The following is an 18861-nucleotide window of genomic DNA, read 5'->3' on the forward strand; positions in this document are numbered from 1 at the left end:
TAATACAAGCCTTCTCTCAGCTTCTCCACCAGCCCAGTCTCTTCCCGCCTTAGGGTCCTCCTCACGCCATCCCCTCTGCCAGGGCAGCCCACTCCCACCCCACTAGCCCCTTGCCAACCTGGCTCTTTCTCAGTCTTGAGGCTTAGCTGAAACATCACCTTGCTCAGAGAAGCCTCGCCAGCTGGCACCCCACAACACACGACCACAGCACCCATGGGTTCCCCACACTGCCCTCGTGGTAGGCTGTGATTGTTTTCCTTACACTGTTTACCTTTAGCCCCATCTTGCCAGCTGGAATAGAAGCTCAAGGAGAGTTGAGATGTTGACTTCATTCACCATTGTATCCCTGGCATCTTGCCGCACATAGTAGGTGCTCAGCAAACATTAGAATGAAAGAATACATGAAAGGGCCCAGCACCATAGAAGCAATGCAATGAGGTTTCAGAGGAGGAAGCAATCACTTACAGGTTGGGGTGGAGAATAAGATTTGAACATGCAGAGGTGAGGAATAAGAAACTGCAGAAGCAAAGGCATGGGGTGGGGTGTGCCTGAGGAAGCACTGAGTGCAGTGAACAGGGAAGGCCAGGGAAAAGCAGGTGGTCTTGGAGGGCTCTGACAGTGATTGACGGAGGAGCAGAAAGGCTCAGGGAAGATGGGCTGCAAGGCAGAGGTGGGCAGAGAAACTGGAGAGAAGGCAATAAAATCAGCAGAGACAATTTGACAGAGAGTGACCAGAGCCTGGACCAGCACAGGGGACGGGCAGATGTGAAACCCAGGCAGAGGTGACAGGGCCTGTCTCCTGGCAGGGGACAGGCTGCCTCGGGTCCCCATCAATCCACATCCCTGTGCCTCTAGGCTGCAGACAGGAAACAGAGGCTAGATGGAGACCTTGGGATCCCTGAGCCATGCCCATTGCTGCCACTTTTACCCCACTTCCCACCCCATCTGCATTTCTGTCTCTCCTTTCCTTTCCTCCACTTGAAGGATCCATCCTGAGGTCTCATTTCTGGCCGTCAGTGATAAGCTGCAGTTGCTAAGAAGCACCCCAGGAGGCGTCCACCTGGTCCCAGGGTCTGGGCGGAGGCCACACCTTTTTTTCCAGTCCTGGGCCTGGTACCCCTTGATGAAATCTGACCGCCATCTAGTGGACAGAGTTGGAATGCGCAGTGTGGCCACACCCTGCACCCTGGTCCAGGCGGGGCCTGATGCAAGCAAATTGGCATCGGAAAATTCACGACCAACAAGAAGGCTGAGGAGGCTGGTGAACCCCAAACCACTAGTCCTGCATACGGATGCCCCTGCTGAAGTCCAGGTGAGGCTTAATGCAAGCAAATTAGCATCTGAAAATTCATGACCATTAGCAAGGCTGAAAAGGGTGGTGAACCCCAAAGCAGTAGCCCTGCACATGGATGCCCCTGTTTATGCGGTGGTTTCAATATGCTGGCCAAAGGAGCCAGTGGGCAGGGAGGGGTAGAAAAGCAGTGGCTCCTGCAGAAAGTGTGCAGACTCATCTGGAAAAGGGCAGGCCTCTTAGCAGAGCTAATGTGTATAAAGTGTTTACCATGTGCCACGCTGGTGCTAAATGCTTCATGCATGCTCATTACTTCATCTGATCTCCTATCAGGTGGAAATGACTAAGCAAAAAGCAGACACAAGGTTCATGTGGCTGGTAAGTGCAGAGCAGGGATTTGAACCCAGGAACCCTCAGCCAGATTCTGAATCATAAAGCTATAAACCCCTGGACAGCAGTCACATGCAAAGGCAGTTAAGACAGAAGGCATTTAGGTAGGAAGCTGCCCCCAGACCATGCACCAGACTCTAGCTGCTCGAAACTCTCGTCTGTTGGTAGTTCAGAGCTCTGTACTGGAAGAAGGCTGTGAAAATGGACTTGCCCATGACCTTCCAGGTTGTGGCTTTCTATTATCCTGAGGCCCCTGACATGAGATTGGCCCACCCATCACACTCAACAGCAGTGTGTGCCTCCCTGCTTCAAATACTTATAGCCCCTTTACCCTGGAACGGGTGGGTTTAATTCCTAAGGCAGACACATGGGTCCTGGGAAGCGGGCTTTACTTTTTTTTGGTAAAGTCCCACATTCTAGAGCATTACCTTCCTTCTCCTTCCCCTCATCTCGAAACCCATATCATGAAATCCAGACATCCAGGAAGGAAATCAAGGTCAAGGAAACTTCAGGTTCAGTGGGAAGAGTTGGAGTTTGAGTGCCCACTCACGAAGCTTCCCCTAAGAGCTTGAGGAGTTTCCCAAGACACACTCATTGTGCTTCTCCATCTGTAAAATGGGAAGTGGCTAGTCGTGCCTGTAAAGCTGTTAGCCCAATGACTGGCAATTAGTTCTTGCTCAATACGTATTACTTTACCTTTACCCTGAAAAAAAAAAAAAACAAATTGTCTGTCTGCTTTCTTTTTTTCCGTTTTAAATAAAGATAGGCATTTGGAGACATTTCACTCTATTTTGGAAAAAAGAAAAGTGTACGTCCAATAATTAACAACCCCTCACCCTTGGTCTGAGAACCAACTGGGTAGGGGGAGTGTGGCACATGAAAAGACACATGCCCCATCCAAATGCTCTCTGTTCACTAGCAACCCCTTACTCCATGCTGCGGCACAGACCCAGGGCCGCCAGGTCTTCTGACAGATTTAACAAAAGCTACAATTTTACAGAAAAATGTTCTGACATCTGAAGCATCGACCTCATTTCTTTGAAAATTTAAAGTTATCAAAGTAGCTTTAAATAACTAAAGCTACTTTAATTATTTACAGTAGCTTTAGTGATGTGATGTGATGGGTGGGCCATCTGTCTGGAGCCCACAGGTCACCACTATGTGTGGCCACACACAGGCCTCGCATATTATCACTTAAGAGTTTTGTTAAGTTTCACTGCTGGGGCCAGGCACAATGGCTCACACCTGTAATCCCAGCACTTTGGGAGCTGAGGCAGTCATATCACTTGAGGTCAGGAGTTCGAGACCAGCCTGGCCAACATGAGGAAACCCCATCTCTACTAAAAATACAAAAATTGGTCGGGCATGGTGGCGCTCACCTGTACTCCCAGCTACTCGGGAGGCTGAGGCAGGAGAATCACTTGAACCCAGGAGGCGGAGTTTGCAGTGAGATGAGATTGCACCACTGCACTCCAGCCTGAGCGACAGAGTGAGATTCTGCCTCAAAGAAACAAAAAGCAGAAAACAAAACCGTCTGGTGAACTGTTGAAGGGATTCCTGTCCCCACTCTCTGGTTCTTGCCCTTCCTTCAAGGCTCAATTAAAAACTAACTCTGATATGAGACCTCCCTCAATCACCATCCAAATCTCCAACTACAATATTGTTAGGTAACTTTTCTTGGATAAAGTCCTGTGTCCCCTGAGAGCCAGAGGGCTGCCCCAGGTGAGGCCATGGTTGGCCCTTTGTATCTTCTGCCTTCTCTAGGCTCTGTGAATGTGGGTTGATGATGGTAATAACCCTCCCCGAATACTTCCCACCCTGAATCCTAATCTCTCTAAGCACAGTTGATCATCTTTCTTCCTGGCAACCAGCAAAGGAACCAGGGCAGTATTTCCAGATCACTCCTCATCACCAACTTCTGGCAGGGACCTCAAACCCGGAATTAGAAACGTCAGCTTCCCTCTCTCTCCCTCTAATTGTTCCACAACCTGGAGTGACACTGCATTGGTTAGTGCAACTTAGCAGTCTTTGGAAACACTAGTTGTTGACATGGCTTTGTGGCTCAGCATCTTTTTCTGGCTTTTTTTTTTTTTTTTTTTGAGATGAAGTCTCTGTCGCCCAGGCTGGAGTGCAATGGCACAATCTCGGCTCACTGCAGCCTCCGCCTCCCATGCTCAAATGACTCTTCTGCCTCAGCCTCATGAGTAGCTTAAATTACAGGCATGCGCCACCATGCCTGGCTAATTTTCATATTTTTAGTGGAAATGGGGTTTCTCCATGTTGGCCAGGCTGGTCTTGAACTCCTGATCTCAAGTGATCCACCTGCCTCAGCCTCCCAAAGTGCTGGAATTAAAGGTGTGAGCCACTGCGCCCAGCCAGTTCAGCATCTTGTCTGATGAATACTCATGAGGCCTGTCTTACTTTGGGTCTCCCTAAAAGCTGCTAGAGAGACAGGAGTTTGGCTGCAAGTCATTTATGTGCGAGCTGATGCCAGGAAGGCCAGTTAGGGACTGGGACAGGGAGACACAGAGGGGAAAAGCCAAGAAAGGGGTGCTCATGAGTAGGTCACTGATGAGGGCAACTGGAGCATCATCCCACCCACAGGAACCCTCCAAAGCATGCCCTTGAGGGGCAGAGAAGGTGAGCTGTTTATCCCCCAGCTCTCACCTCTGGGGTGTTGGCTCCCAAGCACCAGAGGCAGAAACCAAGAACACCCTCCACAGAGAGACCCAGGAAGAGAGGGGGTGCAGGAACATCCACATCTGTCCTGCAGGGTGGCTGAGGGGAGAAAGATAGGGCCTACAGAATCTACTGCAAAACTCCGCCTCAAGAAAGTCCAATTCTGTGACCGAAGCCCACCTTTACGCCTAAATTACACTGCAAAGCACCTCACACTGGCTCAGCAGGTTTTCCTAACACTCCCGTGCTAGACATGTTGTCAGTCATTGTTACTAGCCCTAATTAACAAAAGGGAGAGATCAAGTGTGTGCCCGAAGTCATATAACCAATTACTAACTCTACTTTGCAGACTCGATGACCTTCATATTACTGAAGACCTTGCCAGGGGGCTACTTTAAATAGCAAAGCATTTACTCCTTTAAAATCATGTTGTAATTTTTAAAGTTGATTTCCTTGGAGCTTTTTGGGGATTCACCTGGTGTGGGGTATCTCCTGTCTCTGTGTGCCTGGCCTGGCTACAGTAACTCCACATTCAGTATCTACCAAGTCTTAGCCCCTCACAGTGCCATGAGACCCAAATGTCTTTCTGACAGTTACTCTTTCAACCTCTACATGTCACCATTATGTAAAATTATTTCCTGGGCCCTGACAAGATTTTATCTTTAATAAAACTGAATTAAAACAGCAAGCACAGGCACACCATTTCAGCTGACCCTCCTGGTTCAAAAGATTAGAATAAAGAAGTATGAATTCTCACGAAGAGAAAGAACTAAATGCAAGGTTGTTGCCAATAAAAATTAAGTTTCATCCTGACCAGAAACAATGATTGTGTTCCATTGCCCATTTTAGATATACTCTCCAAATTTAATTTCCTGCCCTGTGTCTGCAGTGAGAGGGAACTTCTATGGGGGAATGTTAAGGAGGCCAGAAGCCTCCTACAAAACAGATTATACAAAAATTCCTGGCTGGGCACGGTGGCTCACGCCTGTAATCCCAGCACTTTGGGAGGCCAGGGTGGGTGGATCACGAGGTCAGGAGATCGAGACCATCCTGGCCAACATGGTGAAACCCCATCTCTACTAAAAGTACAAAAATTAGCTGGGTGTGGTGGCACGCGCCTGTAGGCCCAGCTACTCGGGAGGCTGAGGCAGGAGAATTGCTTGAACTCAGGAGGCGGGGTTGCAGTGAGCCAAGATCAGGCCACTGCACTCCAGTCTGGGCAACACAGGGAGACTCCAGCTCAAAAATAACAACAAAAAAATCCTGACCCGGAGGCAGAAAGACACTTTGTGTAAAAACAAACAAATGAAGAAACAGCTTGTAGTTTCGAGCCTTAAAGCATGATGTAGCTTTGGCCCTGTTAAAATCATTACTGTCCCAGGATTCCAGGTTTGGAAGTGATCCATTCAGTATCTTGGAGGGGAGGGGTGTCTCCTGACTGCAGAGGGAGGGGGCCAGGACCATAGCCTGCACAGTGAGGGAGGACAGGGTGGAACTGCCACCTGTTCCCTCAGCCACAAGAGAAAAGTGAGTTTTCCAACCCAGTGAACACAGTGAGAGACTTCAAAGTGAACCTGACTAAAGCTCGCTTTGTGCTCAAAACACTTCCCAAATAAGTGCCATCTCCAGATTCTGTTTCAAAGTTAGTTGTTCTCTCTTCCAGACATGGACCCACCAGGGATGCTAAGCGACTCCACTGAGCATTTGTAAAACACAATGTTGAAGCTCAAGTTGGAAAACAGCCACACCACTTGCCGACACCACGACGCTGAGAAATTGCTCACATTCAGGTTACTATTAGGGTTGTTTAGGACCATGATCAGCATGGTGTCTGCAGCATACAATAAAAATACTACCCTATGCTAAGTTGCTGAGTGTGGCTCTGTGCCATAACAGATTTGCAATAAGCAGTAGCACATTCTGGCTATTTTCAACCTCAAAGACTCCCTTCCTGCTCTACTCTGTGCAAGAACATTCTAAGAGATCTTCTGCGAAGCTCTTCGCTCACTTTCTCTTCCCCCATCCTGAGGATGTTTTCCTAAGCACTGTTTTCCCTGTGCTTTTGTCAATTGCTCCTAGATGAAGGTTCCTTGGGTTTGCAAACTCCAGAAAGAAGCATGTCACAATGATCAAGAGAAAATGTGAACTCTGTGTTACCAGTCTGAAGCAAACTACTTCACCGGTGAGTCTCAGTTTCAACGCTGGTAGGATGGGGCTAATAGTACCCACCCCAGAGGACTGAGATGATACATACAAAGTGCTTAGCACAGTGCCTAATGATAGAAGCACAAGTCAGTCCTAGATATGTCTGCCACACTGTTTTGCTGGAGCCAATTAACTTCCGTCCAGTCCACCTCATTATGCCATTTGCCAAGCTTCACATCAAAGATATGCATGATTTGACTTTGCTGCAGGAAAACTTGGTCATTTTACTGACTTGTCTGTGTTCCCTTTGGCTGGTGTTGACTGGACTGTGTCAAACAATGTTGCTTCTGGTCTAGATTCTATCAACTTACTGTGTGAGCACTGGTAATCTTCTCTTCTGTAAAACTTGGAGGCAGAATACTAGGTGACGCTTAATTTCCCTCTGAACGACGCATAAGCTTCCTCAGAGCTAAACTTTCTAACCCATGATTCTTTGACATCTTAAAAAGACTGTCTGGCTGGGGAGAGACTGCCCCTCCTGGCACTAGTCAATTCTTAGAGATGGCAAAGGACTCAGCCAGGAGCCTACTTTGATATACACACTAATTAATCCAGAGCCATGCCTTCTCAATCTGGCCCATACACCCTTGCAAGCAATATTCCTCTACCTAACTCATCCCAGGGACTGATAACAGAAAACTAAGGACCACTCCTATAGTTTAGAGCCCAGTGAAATTATCCAGACTATTCCATTATCAATGCTAAACAGTTCACCCTGCCCTGCCCTGCCTTTCCCTCAGAAGCATCAATAAATGCTCCGACCCAAGCCCCCACCACGCTCCTGTCTTCTGCCTCCTGACCACCCCTGTGTCTTTCCCATGTGGCCCTGTGTGGGGTGTCCCATGCCTCCTGTCTCTACGACCTATGACTATAATAAATTGTGTCTCTTCTGTGGCCACACCTGACTGGCCATCACATGAAAGCATACAAAACACACACAGTTGTTTCACACTTGCCGGCCTACAAAACACTTCCGCCTTCATTAAACCTAATTTCATCTTCAAAAATCCACTGTGCATTTGCCCCTATGCCATACGGAGAACAACCATGCCCACAGAAGTGACATGATCAGCTCAGAGTCTGCATGCGCACAAGAAAGCCAGCTCTCAGTCCTAGGTTTACTGACCAAGGGATCAGTTTAAAGGACTGTGTAAAGCTCACACACACAATTCAACTCGGGCAAGCCTCCTTTTCATAGATTGAGGGCTAAGAAGCACCTCAATGCCAAACTTTGTGGTGTAAGTCACCCAACTGCATGCGAGCTATGCCAGCATCTACAGAGATGGCTAGACAATGACAAGGCTCAAGGCAGCCATTTCCCATTGTAGAAAGAAACATCTCCAGGTACATAAAGGATCTAAGCACTGTTACCTGAAAGCCCAGCTCTGTCCCGTTTACTTGATCACTTTAACACGTCCTGGAGGAAAAGCCACTTTAGAAGGGCATTTATCACCCATGCCCTCTCCCTCATTTTTACTTCCAGAGTACACTGTGTAGAACTGTGAAATGCCTGATTGTGCCAAGTGTCTAGAGCAAGGGTGCTCAAACTTCATGTGTATCACAATCACCTGAGGACTTGTTAAAATACGTATTGCTGGTCTCTGGGTTGGGGCTCAAAGTAGTTGCATTTCCAACAAATTGCTCTGGTGATACTGAAATTGCCCAGGTGATACTGAAATTTCCCAGGTGATACTGAAATTGCCCAGGTGATACTGATGCTGCTTGTCTGATAACCACACTTGACAATCACTGGTCTAGACAGAGCCACCGTATTCCATGGCTCCTTAAAATCCTCACTGTGGGCCGCATGCTGTTCTACTTTTCCCTTGCTAGGCGAAGGGAGTCAGCACTCCCTTCACCACCACGCACACCTAGAATCATGAAATAGAAGTGGGATGTTTGCCCACCATTTCAACAATGGAGAAATAATAAAGCAAGTAAATTGGGCCTCAAACCCTCCAAAAGTAGGAGAAGAGATGGGCTTTGTAGGATTCTCTTTTCGAGAGAGATTACTTGGGGACAATTGGGCTATTTCTGAGCTCTCCCCAACAAGTGCTAAGATTGGTTCAAGAAGCAGAAGTTAGATGTTTTATAGTGCATAAACATTTCCTTACAAGTAAACTCAAAGACTCTTAAAATTCTCAGGTGATAAAAACCTGAATATATATTCTTAAGGTAGATTTGTTCTCAATTCCAGCAGGATTCCTTGTCACTAGCAGCTGCAGAGCCCATGGATACAGCAACCATATAGTCTATTATGCACACCTAGACTCTTCTAAGAGTCAAAGAGGGCATTGTTAATAATTACAAAGAAAAAGGAGGGTATGGGCATAGGATTAGCCCACCAGTAAGGAGTGAGGAACAAGGTGAAATGCACACTCAGGCATGCTACCTCTGCTCTTGCCTTAGGGAGTCACCTCACTTCTACTAAGTTCTGTACGATGTATCTTGGCTATGTAGGTTGGGAACTTTCAGCAGGTGGTTGAGGGTGTGTCCACTTGCGTTCTTTCCTTTCTGATTGTCCACCAACCTGCAAGACAAAAGAGGAAAGATGTTTTCCCAGAGGGCTGGAAATTGCGTTTGTCCACTCATTTACTCTAATCACCTGTCACAGGTAGCCCACTGCCAGCAGCAAATGCTAGCTTGTTTCGATACAGTTTCTTTGACATGGGCACAGGAGTGAGTCAGATGTCAAAAGCTGACCCAGACGTGCTCATTGCCTAGTTAAACATCACCAGTCTTCATCAGATATTTGCCTCAAGCTCTAGTCCTGCCTAAGTCAGATGACCAAGGTTAGCTTTCTCTCCCCTGGGGATTGCCTACTAGCTCCTCCTGGAAGGGGCACCTTGAAACTGGTCCTTTCATGCTTCTTTTTCCTAGGCCAAAAGATACAAACTGGCAGTTGACAAGATAGAAATGGCCTGGAAAGGCAATTTACTTGATCCATATATGTTGTTGGACCATTGTGTAAAAATTAGATGCTTTCACATAAAAATACAAATTCCAGATTACACTGAAAAAAAATTTTTTTTTCAAATCAGAGGATCAGGCAACACCACCAGGACTATCTGGTAAGGGATGGGAGGCAAGGAAGAGTTGGAGAAGCACGGAGTCGTGACGGGAGACAGGAGACAATAGGGCCATGGAAACTGAAGGGGCAAGAGAAGCCAGGTAGGGGTGTCAACACCACAAGTGCCCTTGTACATGTCAAGGAGGTATGTTGGAATTTTACTAGCTAGATGTGTAGAAGACAGCAAGGGCTTAAAAAGGAAAATGACAGGACTAAAATTAGAGAGTAGACTAAACAACGAGATGAGACTTCAAAATTAACATCCACTTACCTAGTGGCTGTGAAAGTTAGAATTTAGCTACAATAAAAGGAAGGTAACCTTTGGCAGCAGCAAGAGAGTTGCTAATGTAAAGAATGAATGTGCCAGAATAAGGGCACAGTCACAGCAACATCACAGAGAAAATCAGAAGCGTTCAAGTAGGAAGTTTAGGGAGAGAGGCTGGCTGGAGAACGGATGGGATGGTCTTGGGCGTCAATCAGTTTCACAGCCATATCATGCATCCAAAGGACACGGACATCATCAGCAGGCACACGTTTACCACCGTTTCTAGAAGGAACACTCTGGAGATCAGGCTGTATTTGAGAACTTTCAAAGAATCCACAAAATCTGTGCTCTGATAAAAGAAATAATTTTCTTGTCAAAAAAGTAAACTAATATTGTTTGAGCAACTGTGATAAACTAGTGGAGAAAACACTTTTTATAAACTTAAATATGTAAAAATATAACAAAAAGCACCAAGCTTAAAGAAATCTTTACAAAAACCCACAGAATCTCCCTAGAATATGAATATTTACTAAATAAAAGGAGAGCAATAGCTAAGAAGCAGACCTACATCTCCAAATGCTTGATCAAATTTGGAAAGCTGTGGGTCAATAATAAAAGCATGAACTGTAGGTTCATACATTTATGTAAGGTATCGTTAAGCATTTTAATAAGTTGCTATATAAAGTCAGAAAACAATAATTGTTCGTATAATGAATTATGTAGGAAACTGTTTTAAATACAAATCAAACACATCAAGAGTATGTTCAATTTTTGGTTTATTAAAACAAAACTACATTTTCTGTGTTTCTTGCAATACACTAACAAGCATAAAAATCAATCAGCATTTCCAAGTATGTTTTGCTCACAAAATCGCAGTTATTTCACAGTACCTTATAGTAATTCTTTTCACGAGTCTTAACATTTCTTTGTACAACAGGCAAATAGTTTAATACCTTCCATCAAGACATTTCAGAGCTCTAGACGTTTAGAAATAAGGTCAAGAATCTCTTTCAAATGCAATCATTAGTTTGTATTAAACTAAAATGCCAGACGGCAAGTCTCAGGTTTCTAAAATAGTTTTAAAAAACAGGTTTACAGCCCATAGTAAGTCTTAGAAACCTCAACGATAGGTCCTGTCATGTCTAAACACTACAACTATCTGTGGATAAAAATCTGCATTCAAACGTACAATACTTTCTTCTAGATCTGAATTAAAACCTTATTTACCCCAATTCATCCATGTATTCTGATACGTTCAGTGAAAAAGCCAGGATCATTGGGGCTGTTCTCTCTATCAAAGGAAAGAGCTCCGATCACCTACATTATAATTTTCTGTGCTTATTTTCTGCAGGGGAGGAAATACACATCTATTCAACGCCACACTGGACGTTACAAAATGCATGCATATTCTGCCCCAGTGCTATCTGTTCATTACCGTTTTGTCTCCTTAAAGAACTATCTAACATAGTGTTTCCCAAAATGTTCTCCACAGGACATTAGTGAGAGGTTCATAAGTATCCCAAAGGAGAAAAAGGTCCTGGTGTCAAAATAGTTTGGGCAATGCTGGGTTAGACAGTTTTTCACTACCGGATGCCAAGCCCTTACTGCGCTAAAGTGCATTGTAAGTTTCCAGGTGCAAACTTGGTTTCCCAGCAACACCATTTCTATAAAACACTGATGAACATCTCACAGAGCACTCATATTACATGGAGTGCTATGGGAAATGCTTTTCCCCATCCAGGTTACTGGCAATTCCACAATTTGGGCTTACATTCATTGTAATCCCAGAAATATTTTCTCCATTTACCCTCATGACTTTGTGAAATTTAACAGATTCCAGAAGGAAGACTCGAAGCCATCTCAGTTAACAGTTCTACACATTTCCCACTAGTTTTTGCCTTTGTTTTTCATGCATTTTCAGAGTGCACAACTTCCCTCCTCTCTTCTGAATCACTTAGGACATTCTCATTTTCAAAAACAGACTGCAGTTTCATGTTGTTTAATATTGTTTTTTTTTTTTAACTTGACCACAGTCTTCCCCTGAAGAAGGGCATGCATTTCATGTTACAGAAATGCGATAGAGTAAACTGTAATAAATTATTTACAAGCACCTAGTTTGTTTAACCTTATGTGGAAGCCATCACTGTTGGAAAACAATGAGAATGTATCTTTTAGCAAAACGGTGCTATCTGGAAGCTTCATTGTGAAGATGCTTTCGTTTTTTTGTTTTTTGTTTTCAGTCATGAGGCACTGAAGAATGAGTTGTGCTGAAATTAACTCAAAGGTCAGCTTGTCTGGATGAGCATAACTTTGGTTGAGATTTTTCTCCCTTAAAAAAGATTTTCAAAGCACCAGTTAATTACAAAAAGCATGCATATTTATCCTCACAGTGAGTTAAGTGGTGAGAGAGCTAGCAAATCATACATTGCATTCCCCAAAGCATCTGAACGTACTTCTAGAAAACAAACCAACCAAAAGGGAAAATAATGCAAGAGAAGCCGTATTTTCTTTGCTTAGGTTGGCAAAGCAGCAGCTCTTTGCAGCAATGACAGGCAGGGCAGAGTGTCGACTGGGAAGCGAGTCCCAATCTTGAATAATGGTGAGCTTGAGTAATCCTTAATTTACAATTTAAAGGATGAAAAAAAGAGACTAGTGAAATGTTTGCTTCCCCAGATAAGGAACACCCAAGACTCCCTGGGTATCCTCCAAATGTAGCCAAGAAAAGTGTTCTTCTACCCTAGTCAGTAAAATGGAATGCTAAAACATGATATCTCATTCAACATCAGAGCTACTACAACTGACAATGACTTCATGGTATACATCAATTCCTATAAAGAAAAAATATATTTTAAATGCAGAACTTGAGAGGGATCACAACAGCATAGCATTATTGCTATGAGTTTCAAACATGGTATTTCATACAATGTGAAATATCAATCAGCATCCCTCCCTCTCCCAAAACACACATTACTCATGAGATACTATCAGTGTTTAAAATCCAAGCTTATGGAAGTACAAACTTAATTCTCAGTACTTTTATACTAAATTCAAAGAATCTATGTAACACTCATCTGGAAAAATTCTTAATTCCATAATATCTTGGAGATAAGCAACAGTAAACTGTTAGAAAACGTTTTAACATTACATGATATTTAAAAAATCACCATAATTACCATAATAAACCAATAATTATGCTCCCTGCTCACAAAAGGCACCTACCAATTATGAACAGACCATTTTTCATAATTATTTACCACTATGTGGCATAAGGGTTTAGGCATATAACCCATAAAAATTTGTTAAAAGTCATGGTTTTTCCTCAAAGCTAAAAATCCATAAATGCCTCTAACCATTACCAGTCAGTAGGGCCACCACATGCATATACTGGACAGGTTGTGCACGGCACAACTCGAGTGGGTACCAGTCACCTGGACTGGGGTGCAGTACACAATCTGTGTGCAGTACAGAAAGCCCTCATCAGCTGTGGCCAGAGAACTGTATTCTAACAGTCTGTCAGCTCAAGCTAATCAAGTTAGGAAAACTGCTATTTGGTTGGAGGATTTCCAAGAAACAGCTGTACCTGTGAGAGGCAGGTATTACCTGAGGGGTGGACGAGGTACAGACATAAAACAGGAAGGGTTCTAAATATATTTGCTGGTCATTTGAAACTCAATGGCACTTGTTTATATGAGCAAAAGCCTTCAACACCAGTTTTCTGGCCAAGTTTCCCTAGAATTTTGCCAGCCAAATTAACTTCCTGATGTTAACTATTTGATTACAATATCTCAGTTCCCGACCTAAACTAATATTGTCTGTTTTCACATAGCTCTTAAAAACATTTCTAAATCTGACAGCAAAGGACAGCACAGTGATACCTGGGTGTGATATATATCAGTCCACTCAATTTATAAAGCACTTTGGGATAAAAGGTGCTCCCATTAAAAATGTAGCTACTATTGACAGATAAAACTGAAAAAGAGTGAATGGATGACTCAATTATTTTTAAAGGAAGCATTAACCACTAACCAGATAATATACCAACAAATTACCCAGCAGCACTAAGTATACCATGTAAGATTCAGTTCCAGAACACAGCTACATTTCTGTGTCCATCACAGTAATTAGTCCTTAAAAGTTGTACTTAAAATGTCAATCTTTAATAAACTCAAAAATAATTTATTGAGATTTCATCTTGTAGTCTACGGATTATGAGTTGCGAATAGAGGCTGAGGTCCCCCCAAGTGTTATCTGCAGGCTGCTGTGTTGATGCAGAGCTGGGAAGATCACAGATCCATGGAGGGAGAAGGCACTTGTCTTCCAGGAGATCACTTCGGGACAGGGCAGGCCTGACCCTGCGATGGCACCTTCAACTCTTGAGCCAGAAGCTGGTACCTACAAGGAACTCATCTCATGACCTTCATTTGCCAGCAGTGCCACACGTTACCTACAGCACCACAAAACTCAGAATATATTCTAGAAGTTTTTGTCGGTTGCATTGAGGTAGAAAAGTGCTGCTCAGTTCTAAAACAGACACTCTCTTTTGTTTGGTCTCCTTGAAAACCTAAAGAAAAGGTTTAGATTAAATTAAAGGCAAAAAATAAAAAATAAAAAAAATTTCCATTACCAACCTGACCTGTGGTGTCCTAGACCTCAGAAGGCAGTAAAGGCACAAAAAACCATATCCTGGCATTAAGTAAATGTATGCCTGGGTGTGTGTGAGCATGAGGTGGGAGTTTCCAATGCAAACAAGGTTTTCTTTTTCTATTTTTTTTTTTTTGTTTTGATGGAGTTCAACCAACATTAACTATATTCTAAAATTTCAACCAACATAACTATACTCTAAAATGACTTAGAATAAAGTCACAAACAGTCCCTCACAAAAGGCCGCTAGTATCTCTATAGAACTTACATTCCCCATGAATCATGAAGGTAAAGGACACCTGAGGATACTTCTAGAAATTCTTGTAAAAATACAAGAAAGTAACTAAAAATCATATGGAATAATTAAGAGCCAAGATTGTGGTCCTAATCCCAAAATCAAAAATCTGAAGTACTCCAAAATCTGAAAGATTTTGAACATCAATATGATGCTCAAAAGACATGCTCATCAGAGCATTTTGGGTTTTGGATTAGAGACGCTCAACCTGTAAGTCTAATGCACATATTCCAAAATCCCAAAAAAATCTGAAATCCAAAACATTTCTGGTCCCAACATTTTGGATAAGGGATATTCAACCTGTAGCACCTTGAAACATATTGATACCAGTTATATATAGCAGCTTGGGAATAAATGTGAAACCAGTAAAATTCCAGAACATTCAAATAAATCTACACTGATGGGCTTCACCTTCAACATAGCCCAACCCATCCTACATGCCCCGTTCCCAAAAATGCCTTTATCATTAAGCCAGCAGAAACTGCTTCTCTCGGGGTCCACCCCACCACAAAGGTAGCTCAAACAGACTAGATCTAAAGAGAACAGAAGTTGAGATAGCTTTTATACCATAAATGGTGGACACCTACCCCAATATCCTTAAACATTTTCACAGCATTCTTCACAAGACAATATGTGGCACTCTCAGCTGAAGAGAGAGAATAAAACCCTGTCAAATGGTTACGCTCAACAAATCATGACAATCCCAGCAGCCACAGTAAGAAAGTATGGGGAGCTAGGAAGAGAATGAGGGCAAGTCAGCAGACAAGGGTGGGGCCCCACTTCCACCACTGGCAACCTGTGAGTTCTCAGATGACTTGCTGTTAAACCTACTTTGCTTACACCTACTTTGTCCTATATTGAGGTAAATAAGAAAGGGAAGGGGAAAGAAAAGAGGGTGTAGAGAGAGAAATAGGGAGAACAGAGGGAAGTAGAAATACCTAAAACATCCATTTTCCAGGACTGTTGTGAGAATCAAATGAGATAGTGTATAAATATTCTTTAAGCTACCCAGTGGTACACAGATGATTGTACATCAGTGGAACCAGAGAAAGCACAGGCCTCGAGGTTAGGAAACAAGAATTCTGATCCCGAGATTACCCATTAATTAGCAGTGTGACCTGGGGTATTTTCCTCAACTATAAAATGAGGTGATTAGATTAGATTCCTTTTGGCTCTAAAAAGTGATTCAAGTAGTTTCAGCTCCAAACTACAACTGTATAAAATAGTACTCCCACCCCAATCACACCTCCTAAAACAAAGAAGACGGAGCGCTGGCCAAGATGTGCAGCAAGTGAAACACACACTGTTGTGGGAGTACAAGTAGGTATAATCCCTTGGAAACTGTTTGGTGGTATCTACCAAAGCCGAATATACCCAGAGCCTACAACCAGGCAATTCTGTTCCCACATACATGCTGTATATAGGGGCACAGATATTCACCAAAAGACATATTCAAATATGCTCATAGCAACACTGTTCAAAGCAGCTGTGAACTGAAAACAACCCAAATATCCATCAACAGCAGAATGAATAAAATGTGGTAAATATTTATACAATGGAACACTACACAACAAGAACAAAGGAACAACTATATGCAACATGTATGAATCTCAAAAATAACGTTACGTGAAAAAAGCCAGATGTAAGAGTGTATAACTGTATCATTCAACTTATATAACATGCCAAAGAAGATAATAGTAATACTCTACGGTGTTAGAGGTCAGGATAAGTTTGCATTTTTCCAATTTTCTACAATTAGCAAATTTCTGAAATCCAAAAAAAAAAAAAAGATTTTAAAAGAATAAATAGTGACTTAACATACCATATACTGCAACATTTCTTTCTGTTCTGGTTATTAGGTATTTGTGCAACTTTTGCAGATACTCAGGTTCTGGAACAGGACCACTGAAGTTGTGAACAAAGATGGCAGCAGAGCTGTAGGCCTCCAGCAAAGGCCCAAGGAGTCTCTGTAAGAAGGTGATAAACTGCTGGTGCTCCTTGGATTGGCTCACCTGAGTGTGCAAAAGCAGGAGATGAAGTCATGAGGAAGGGACAAGAGACACAAGGCAAGTGGACAGAGGACTTTCTCTGGAGAGCCAGTAACGTGAGAAGATGGCCACTCACATCAGCACTACATGAAAGCGGCCCCCTGCCCCTCATGCAGAGAATCTCTGCTGGAAACAACTGCTGGCTTTCAAACACATTCTTTATTGTAATCATTCACTTTTTTATGGTATTTGAGGCTTGTGTTCATTGAACAGCCACCTAGAAGAAATTTTCATAAATGAATGCCCTACTTGTGATACGCTGTCATCACTAAAAATAGCCGCTCCTAAGACCAGGCCCTCCATGGTTTGAAGCCTGGGCTCAACAGTCACTCAAGTCTGCAGAAAGACCAATGGGAGACCACCAAGATTATCTCACTCCTTCTGCAGCACCTATTCCCTGCCTCCCCTAAATGGCCTTTGCCCACAGTCCAGCACTGTGGGGAATGATGGCCACTGTGACGGCGGTGCTTTATGGCCGAGAGGCTCTCACTGTACCTACCCAAAACACACTGGTTCGGTCAAGCCCCTCTGGAGTGTGAAAGCAAGATCACTGCCCCATCTTGAAACTAAACTAATACCACCCAAGTGAAAAAGAAGACAATTTCTAAATGTCAAAAAAGAGTAATCCTCTTAGAGTATTCAGAAAAGACGGGTCATTATTACTAAGTTCTAAAATTATAAATTAGACAAAATTGATTTTTCTAAATCAGGGACTTTTTTTTTAATCTCAATTTTCTCCTATAATGGTATTTGTTTTAATTGACAGCAAAGAGCTTAATATATGAAATTTTGGGAGGGACAGCAAGAGTGACTCAAAAAGAGCAGCCAGGTCAGTGGCAGCTCAATAGCAAAACTGCTGCCTCATGAGGGGTGCAGGTGTAGGTAAACAGGTATGCACCTGTGTATTTCATAAAAGGATGGTGAAAGTCTCACCTATGACATTCATCTTCCTGACTTTTCAGACTCTCCTTTCCTTTTCTACTTAAAATGCTATTAATTCAACTCAAACAGTTTGAGTGTCTTTACCACACAGAAGGTACCAGAGCTAGTTGGGGGATTCTTTAGATAAGAAGACATCACCAGGACTCCAGCTGATCTCACTGCAGCATAAACCTCAACATATCCCTGTAATATCCACCAGAATTCTTCACCCAAGTACCTTCAGGTAGCAATCTCGCTGTTCCTCCCCAAAGTCACTGTCTTCATCTTCTTCATCACTTCTCCAAGACAAAGGTTCTGGAAGCTTCTTGTCCCACTGCTGCTCAGCAAGACTAGGACTGATATCTTCCTGGTCATCGTGCTAGGCCAAGGAGATGATGGATAGTAAATAAATATGCACTGGCACACAAACAACTGCCCAGTGGAGCCAGGACAAGGCAGTCCTCTTCTCTGACCCTTCCTGGCTCTTCTCTGTTTAGCCACTCATAATGTCAGTCCACTTCCCTTCCAAACTCAAACTCAGTCAGGAGACAGCAGGAGACAAAAGAAAGGGCAGGTGGGAGGGGAGAGCTACCAGAAAGAAAGATCAAATAAAAGTACCCCCACATGTTCTAAATTGATATGTACTTTTCCAGGCCATCTCCTCTACACTAAATCTACCAAAATTAAAATAGAATCTCAAAAATGAAAACTGCAGATGTGCAAGCTGCAAGCATACTGATAGGTGTAACGTCTCAACTTAGCATACAAACTTCTGGATGTCACGGAATCAAGTCAGGATATGTTTTAGACAACACAACTTACAAATAGGAACCAAAATATTAAATAATCCCAAAGGACACTTATTCTCCCCATTCTTATTTTTTGCTTCTCTACATCTGAACATGACTATATACCAAATGTAATTATTGGTTTGTTTACTTATTTATGAGACTGAGTCTCACTCTGTCACCCAGGCTGGAGTGCACTGACATGATCTTGGCTCACTGAAACCTCCACCACTCCGATTCTTGTGCCTCAGCCTCCCAAGTAGCTGGG

General features: G+C 43.3%; 1 protein-coding gene across 5 annotated transcripts in view, besides 1 other annotated feature; it reads right to left on the bottom strand.

Moving 5' to 3' along the window:
* Positions 826-1325: an enhancer, noted in NCBI's record as "H3K4me1 hESC enhancer chr10:113899789-113900288 (GRCh37/hg19 assembly coordinates)". NCBI's record gives its function as "activates a minimal SCP1, AML or CMV promoter by ChIP-STARR-seq in naive H9 embryonic stem cells {active_cell/tissue: H9 hESC(naive)}" and the evidence as "EXISTENCE:reporter gene assay evidence [ECO:0000049][PMID:30033119]".
* Positions 10660-18861, bottom strand: part of GPAM (glycerol-3-phosphate acyltransferase, mitochondrial) — a 77813-nt gene continuing 69611 nt past the window's right edge. For all 5 annotated transcript variants that reach the window (XM_047425564.1, XM_005269998.2, XM_024448089.2 and 2 more), the window contains 4 exons: positions 18044-18184; positions 16659-16848; positions 15424-15482; positions 10660-14461 (listed from right to left, as the gene is read on the bottom strand). In XM_047425564.1, coding sequence (XP_047281520.1) covers positions 14345-14461; positions 15424-15482; positions 16659-16848; positions 18044-18184 — 507 coding nt within the window. In that variant the 3' untranslated portion in view covers positions 10660-14344. The remainder of the gene's footprint in view (positions 14462-15423; positions 15483-16658; positions 16849-18043; positions 18185-18861) is intronic.

Source organism: Homo sapiens, chromosome 10 (genome assembly GCF_000001405.40).
Source record: "Homo sapiens chromosome 10, GRCh38.p14 Primary Assembly".
Classification (NCBI taxonomy): domain Eukaryota; kingdom Metazoa; phylum Chordata; class Mammalia; order Primates; family Hominidae; genus Homo; species Homo sapiens.